At 40.0% G+C, this 8,389-nt stretch overlaps 2 annotated features.

Moving 5' to 3' along the window:
* Positions 5,419–5,658: an enhancer, noted in NCBI's record as "active region_15531". NCBI's record gives its function as "activates an Ori minimal core promoter by ATAC-STARR-seq in GM12878 lymphoblastoid cells {active_cell/tissue: GM12878}" and the evidence as "EXISTENCE:reporter gene assay evidence [ECO:0000049][PMID:35858748]".
* Positions 7,429–7,929: an enhancer, noted in NCBI's record as "H3K4me1 hESC enhancer chr2:29303580-29304080 (GRCh37/hg19 assembly coordinates)". NCBI's record gives its function as "activates a minimal SCP1, AML or CMV promoter by ChIP-STARR-seq in primed H9 embryonic stem cells {active_cell/tissue: H9 hESC(primed)}" and the evidence as "EXISTENCE:reporter gene assay evidence [ECO:0000049][PMID:30033119]".

The following is an 8,389-nucleotide window of genomic DNA, read 5'->3' as shown; positions in this document are numbered from 1 at the left end:
GAATGAGAGGAAATATTGTATTTGCAAACCATACATCTGATAAGGAATATCTAAAATACATGAGGACCTAAAACAACTCAATATTTTAAAAGACTCTGTTAAAAAATGGGCAAAAGCTATTCAGGAATAGACATTTCTCAAAGGAAGACATACAAATGGCCAGCAGGTAAATGAAAAGATGTTCAATATCACTAATCATCAAGGAACTGCAAATCAAAACCACAATGAGGTATCACCGCCCACCTGTCAGAATGGCTTTTATTAAGACAAAAGAAAACAAGTGTTGGTGAGGATGTGGGGAAAAGGGAACCCTGGCACACTGCTAATGGAAATGTAAATTAGTACAGCCATTATAGAAAACAGTATGAAGTTTTCTCAAAAAAATTAAAAAGAGGACTACCATGTGATCCCGCCATCTCTCTACTGGGTGTATAACCAAAAGAATTGAAATCAGTCTGCCTGGCTGGGTGCGGTGGCTCACGCCTGTAATCCAAGAACTTTGGGAGGCCGACGCGGATCACCTAAGGTCAGGAGTTGGAGACCAGCCTGAGTCCATTGCTAAAAGAAAAAAAAGAAAGAAAAAAATCAGTATGCCTATTCATTGCAGAATTCTTCACAATAGCCAAGATACAGAATCAACCTAACTGTCCAACAATAGATGAATAGAAAAAGAAAATGTGGTAAATATGCACACTGAAATATTATTTTCACCTTTAAAAAAAAAAGGAAATCCTGTAATTTACGACAACATGGATGAACCTGGAAGACATCAACCTAAGTAAAACAAGCCAGGAACAGAAAGACACATACTGTGTGATCTCACTTATATGTGGAATCTAAAATGTGTCAAACTCATAGACCAGGTGCGGTGGCTCACTCCTGTAATCCGAGCACTCTGGGAGGCTGAGGCAGGTGGATCACCTAAGGTCAGGAGTTCGAGACCAGCCTGGCCAACATGGTGAAACCTTGTCTCTACTAAAAATACAAAAATTAGCTGATCACAGTGGTGCATGCCTGTAATCCCAGCTACTCGGGAGGCTGAGGCAGGAGAATCACTTGAACCTGGGAGGTGGAGGTTGCAGTGAGCCAAGATCACATTGTTGCACTCCAGCCTGCGTGACAGACTAGAGTGAAACTCCATCTCAAAAAAAAAAAAAGTCAAACTCATAGAAGCAGGGAGTAGAATGGTGGTTGCCAGGGGAACAATGGGGAGACATTGGTCAAAGGGTACAAAGTTTCACTTAGGATAAATAAGTTCAGTAAATCTATTGTACAACCTGCTGACTATAGTTAATAATAATGTACTGTATAGTTCAAAATTGCTAAGAGCGTAGATCTTAAATGTTCTCATCACAAGAAATATGTGAAGTAATGAATATGTTAATTAGCTTGATTTAACCATTTCACAATTATACACATATCAGAAGTAGCTACTTACTTCCAAAGAGTATAGTGTGGAGACGGGGAGGAGGAAGTTCACAGGGGAGCACCGGGACAAATGCTGCACAGCCAGGGATCAAGGTCAACATCAACAGTCACAGATCACATTGATAGTATGTACCCTTGATATGATGTGATGAAAATGGCATACTACCTCTGTGATCTTCCCCTAAACCCAGAATCCCAATCTAGTCATGAGAATATCAGACAAATTCTAACTGAGGAACATTCTATAAAATACCTAAACCAGTATTCCTCAAAACTGTCAAGGAACCAAAAACAAAGAAAGTCTACAAACTGTCACAGCCAAGGGGAGGCTGAGACATGACAGCTAAATATAACATGGGCCCGGGCATGGTGGTGCATGCCTATAGTCCCAGTACTTTGGGAGGCTGAGGCAGGAGGATGGCTTAAGCCCAGGAGTTTGAGACCAGCCTGGGAAACATGGCAAAACCCTGTCTCTACAAAAAGTACAAAAATTAACCAGGCATGGTGGTGCACACCTGTAGTCCCAGCTATTTAAAAGGCTGAGGCAGGAGGATTATCTGAGCCCAGGAGGTGGAGGCTGTGGTGAGCTGAGATGGCGCCACTGCACTCCAGCCTGGGCGACAGAGCAAGACCCTGTCTCAAAAAAATATATAGATAGATATGTATATGTGTATATTGTATTATATATATGCATATATGTATAATATATAGTTATTAATTATATATATTATAATTAGCTAAAGTATATACACGTTAATTAATGTATCCATTACTTCATATATATATAATGTGGTATCCTCGATGGGATCCTTGAACAACTACAAAAAATGGACATTAGATAAAAACTAAGGTGTGATGGTTAATACTGAGTGTCAACTTGACTGGATTGAAGTGTACAAATTATTAATCCTGGGTGTGTCTGTGAGGATGTTGCCAAGGAGATTAACATTTGAGTCCCTGAGCTGGGAAAGGTAGACCCACCCTTAATCTGAGTGGGCACCACCTAATCAGCTGCCAGCCCAGCTAGAATATAAGCAGGCAGAAAAATGGGAAAAGAGAAACTGACCTAGCCGCCCAGCCTACATCTTTCTCCCACGCTGGATGCTTCCTGCCCTCAAACATTGGACTCCAAGTTATTTAATATATATTTATATATATTATAATTTATATATATTATATATTATAATTTATATATATTATATATTATAATTTATATATATTATATATTATAATTTATATATATTATATAATTATATATATATAATTATATATAATATATATTATATATTATATATCATATATTATGTACATAATGTATATTATATATAATTTATATGATATATAATTTATGATATATATAATTTATATATAATATATATTTATATATATCATATAAATTATATATAATTATATATTATATATATTAATTTATATTATATATATTAATATATATTATATATAATTTATATATATAATTTATATTACAAAATTTATATTACATATTATATATAATTTATATAATATATATAATATATATTATATATAATTTATATATTTATATATATTATACATATTATAGTATATAATATATATTCCATTAATTCTGTTCCTCTAGAGAACCCTAATACATAAGGTAATTTGAATAAGTGTGAACTTTAGTTAAAAATTATGAATCAATATCAATTTGTTAATCTGTTACATATGGTAACAAATGTACCATAGTAATGTATGGTGTTAATAATAGGGGCAACCGAAGGTGGGGATGGTATACAGAAACCTTCTATTCAATTCTTCTGTAACTCTAGAAATGTTTTTTAAAAGTCTATCAATTTTTTAAATGTTTACATTCTTTACCTGGGCAATTCAACATCCCAGAATTTGTTCTGAGAAAATAATCACAAATGTGGGCAAATACTTACCTACAAGAATATTTCAATATTATTCATAATATATATAAACTAAATGCTCAATAATAGGAGACTGGCCTAAGAAATTATTTTTCCTTAATTCGATGGAATATTGTAGTCATTAAAAATACTGTAAAGAATATTAGATGATGTGAATTTACGATATTAAGAGAAAAACTAGGCTACAGATTATACATACAGCAACATTCTGTCTTTACTGAGACATAACTAGATATACGATAGACGATTGATAGATAGGCACATTTATTTTTATTTTCCTTTGAGCTTGTCTATACCTTCTAAATTTTTACATGGTATATATTGCTTTTCATTGTGGTAAAGTACACGTAACAAAATTTACCATTTTCAGCATTTTAAAGTGTAAAATTTCATGGCATTTAGTACATTCACAATGTGCCATCATCGCAACCATCTAGTTCCAGAACATTTTCATTGCAACAAAAGGGAACCCTGTATCCATCAGTCACTCCCATTATCCTATCCAGTCCCTGGCAACCACTAATTTGGTTTCTGTCTCTATGGATTTGCCTGTTCTGGGTATTTTGTATAAATGAAATAACACAACATGTGACCTGTTGTGTCCAGCTTTTCACTTAGCATAATGTTTTCAAGGTTCTCTCATGTTGTAGCATCTGGCCAATACTTCATTCCTTTTTATGACTGAATAATAGTACATTGTATGGATATACAAATTTTGTTTATCCATTTATCAGCTGGTGAACATATGGACTGTTTCCATTTATATCTATTGTAAATAGTGCTGCTATGTTCATATTTAAGTTTCTGTTTGAACATTATTGCTTCTATAATGTAAAAATGCTGTTCTTAAAAGGTAACATCTAAATAAATTATACTCACCAAATCCCCCAGTCTATATGAGTGCTAATTCCCTAAGAAATTTCCTAAATTTGTTTACTTGTGTACAAGGGCCCAATCTTCCTTTCATTACATTTGTGAAGTTTCCAGCCCCAAATTTTAGTTTTTTTGTTTGTTTTTTGAGAGGGAGTCTCGCTCTGTCGCCCAGGTTGGAGTGCAGTGGCACGATCTTGGCTCACTGCAAGCTCCGCCTCCCGGGTTCACACCATTCTCCTGCCTCAGCCTCCCCAGCAGCTGGGACTACAGGCACCCGCCACCATGCCTGGCTAATTTTTTGTATTTTTAGTGGAGACAGGGTTTCACCGTGTTAGCCAGGATGGTCTCAATCTCCTGACCCGTGATCCACCAGCCTCGGCCTCCCAAAGTGCTGGGATTACAGGAGTGAGCCACCACACCTGGCCCCAAATTATCCTTTAAATGTTGAACAATATTTTTCTCAAGAATCTTTTCAATTCGCAACACAAAAATTGAATTAAATAGGATTTTGTAAGAATTGATATAATATTTGAGACTAGCTCGTGTCTTCATTTCCCTTTGGCTAGTTTGGAAGGCAAAGGTGATTTTTACCATTTTATCCATTATTCCTGCAGTTCTAGTTAATATTTTGCATCCTAGAGGCAAAGAACGATAAGGAAAACAATTTGCATTTAAGTCTCATGTTAACATGTTAACGGTGCACTATGTCCAGGTTGATGGTCAGCACTAGAGGTAGACTGGTTCATTATTTTTGATTGCCTGGAGTTGGGCAAATTCTAAAAGTTTCAAGCTATCAAAAGTTAATCATGTGGCGGGGGGGGTGGTGCATGGAGGCTCACGCCTGTAATCCCAACACTTTGGGAGGCCGAGGCAGATGCATCATTTCAGGTCAGGAGTTCGAGACCAGCCTGGCCAACATGGTGAAACCCTATCTCTACTAAAAAGGCAAAAATTAGCTGGGCGGTAGTGGCACACACCTGTAATCCCAGCTATTCGGGAGGCTGAGGCAGGAGAATTGCTTGAGCCTGGCAAGCAGAGGTTGTGGTGAGCTGAGATCGGGTGACTACACTTCAGCCTGGGTGAGAGAGTGAGGCTCTGTCTCAAAAAAAAAAAAAAAGCTAATCATGTGTGAATCCTGCTCAGCAATGAAAACGTCTGAACTAATGATGCATACAGTAACATGAATGACCCTCAGTATAACCATGCTGAGAAAAAGAAACTAAACCAAAAAAATAAATCTGTATGAAATTCAAGGATGGGCACAGTGGCTCATGCCTATATTCCCAACACTTTGGGAGGCCAAGATGGGAGGATCACTAGAGGCCAGGAGTTTGAGACTAGCCTCAACAACATAGCGAGACCCTGTCTCTTTAAAAATTAGCCAGGCATGATGGTGCATGCCTGTGGTCCCAGCTACTCAAGAAGCTGAGGTGAGAGGGTCACTTGAGCCCAGGAAGTCAACACTGCAGTGAGTTGTGATGGCACCACTGCACTCCAGCTTGGATGACAAAGTAAAACCCTTTCTCTACAAAAATAAATTTTTAAATCCCAAACAATGCCAGCTAGTCCATAGTGACAGAAAGATGATCAACAATTGCCTAGGTGGATGAGAAGGGGTATATAGGGAGGGATTACAAAGGGCCATGAGGAAACTTTTGGGACTGTTGGATATGTTTATTATCTTGACTGTGGTGATGGTTTTGAGACAGCCAGGTGGGTGGGGGTCCCTGGAGAAACTCCAACCAGCCTACCCACTGAGGTGGAGCCTCGGGAAGTTCATGCCCTTTGCAGCGGGGAGGAGCCCTGTCCCTCCTCTTCCTGTATGGAACCTGGGATTCGAACGGTGGGTGGGAAGTGCTCTAGCAGGGACTCTGGTCTAGCGAGAGTCTGTTTCCCCCCTTTCTCTCTTTTTACCCAATAAAACCCCATCTTACTCAATGGTCTGCAAGCCTGAATTTTCAAGGCCATAGGACAAAGAACCCCGTCTTTAACTGAACTAAGGAAAAGTCCTGCAAAAGTTTCATGGATGCATGTGTGTGTGTAAACTCATCAAACTGTATATTTTAAATACATGTGTCAGTTATACCTCACTAACAGCACAAAGTAAAAAAAAAAGCTAATGATGTGAGCTGCTCATACAATTATTATTAAACATAGTTTAAATGTGTTCATAATATTGGTTCCCTTTTTCTATTTATTCGCATTTAATGTCAAAACACCAAAGAAGGGTTATTTGATGTACCTCAGGTTAGAGGCATGTTTGTTCTTGGTGTCTTTATTAGTAGTCTATTTTAAATGTTGACATTGTTGTAAATTAGAATCTACAGAGATCAACTCCCTGTTCTGCATAAATGCCAAAAGGATATTAATCTGGTCCAAAGATATGCTCCTTTCACAAGGCCGAAGTATTTTAATCATCACCTCCCTGGGTTATTCTTCAGAGTCAGTCTTGGGTAATTTATCTCCTTTAAATATTATTATGAATACTTATGGGTTTTTTTTAGGGGAGGGGGCCTATTTTTGTCATGGTAATTCTAAATGTATAAATAGAATTTTTTTTTAAGTCATGAGCAAGCAGGAATGAAATTTCCCAGCAATAACATTAAAAAGTTATAAGCAGGGTTATAAGCAGTGGTTGATGTCCCATTCCCCCGTTCAGCACAGACAAACCATCCTTATGGATAAATGTAAAGGGGAACTGAATCTGCTATCTGCTCTTCAGTCTAAGAGCAGACTTTAGACGAAGTTATAATACAATAAAAATTTAAATACTGTAACTTTTTCTGAGAAAAATGCACACAATATTTGAGTTGTCTACAATATTTCAAAGACTCTGAGCTAGTCTGACTCTTGTTGCATAACCCTGGGAAATTGTGAAACTCAGTTCTGACTTATGTCCCACTATGATGAATTCATATGACCCAATGTCTTTCCTCAAATTTGCCACACACACAAATGTCTACTCACAAATTCATAAGCAATAACTAGAGTGAAGAGTCTATTTTGAGAAGTTTGTACAAGTAGCAGCCACTATCTTTCCAAAGCCCAGGGTACTGATGGTGGCGGTGGCCTATTTGGAGCAGCTGCTGTGGGGATGCCAGCTGCAGTGGGGAAGGTGAAGCTGGGGCTATGCGTTCCACCGAGCCAGAGGAGGGCAGTAATAGGTGGGAGTCCCGCCCCCTACCGAGTTGGCTGGTCAAGAGCACCTCACTCCCCAGTGCAGCAGCAGCCACATCAACACAGCTCCAGACCCGGGCATCCCTGTACTCTCAGGGGCATGGCTAGCCCCAAGCTCCCACAGGCTTGGAAGTGCCTGCTCCTACTCCCTGGCCTCTCCCAACTCCTGGCACCCGCTCCAATTTCAGAGCCTGAGCCTGGGTGCTGTCATGGCCCGGCTAGGTGTGTACACGCTCAGGGCAGCACTGACATGCCAGACATCCTCCACTGCCTTGGCACCTTCTGAAACTTTGAGCACCAACGAGCTCAGGAAGGGAGGCCAGGAGGGCTGAGGGAGGCTTAACGCAAGCCTGCAGGTGCCCCTTGGTGTGAACAGCCTGGGTGCCATGGAGGTCATGTTGATGGTGGCAGGAGTCAGACAGGTTCCTAGGAGGGAAGGGGTGGGTCCCCAGTGAAGCCCCACTTTCAAACCAGGGACAGCCTGAAGCCTGGGGGCCAGGCTTTCAGTCCCAGGTGGTGTCCATGACCCAGAGCGAAACTTTATGGTGCTTTTTCCAGGCACACCCATGGCCACCCATGGACCAATCATCACACAGTTCCTCCCTTCTGAGCCCATAAAATCCCTGGATTCAGCCACACTTGCATACTGGTCAGGATGACCTGCCTGTGGAAAGGAGCTGCCCACTATGGGTCTCCTCTCCACTGAGACCTGGACACTCATCAGCATGGCCTGCCTGTGGAAACGAGCTACTCACTTCGGGTCTCCTCAGAGCTATTCTGTCATTCAATGAAGCTCCTTACTATCTTGCTCACTCTCCAGTTATCCACGTGCCTCATTCTTCCTGGACATGGGACAAGAACTCAGGACCAGCTGAATGGTGGGACTGAAAGAGCTGTAACACAAACAGGCCTGAAACATGCCCCCCACTCACCACATTGTGAGTGACGAGAAGGAGAGAAGAGCTGCAGCCCTTCTGGGAGCCCAGACCTCAGGGATCCCCAAG

Source organism: Homo sapiens, chromosome 2, assembly GCF_000001405.40.
Source record: "Homo sapiens chromosome 2, GRCh38.p14 Primary Assembly".
Taxonomy (NCBI): Eukaryota; Metazoa; Chordata; class Mammalia; order Primates; family Hominidae; genus Homo; species Homo sapiens.
The sequence above is the reverse complement of the archived record's forward strand: the minus strand, read 5'-3'. Positions and strand labels throughout refer to the sequence as shown.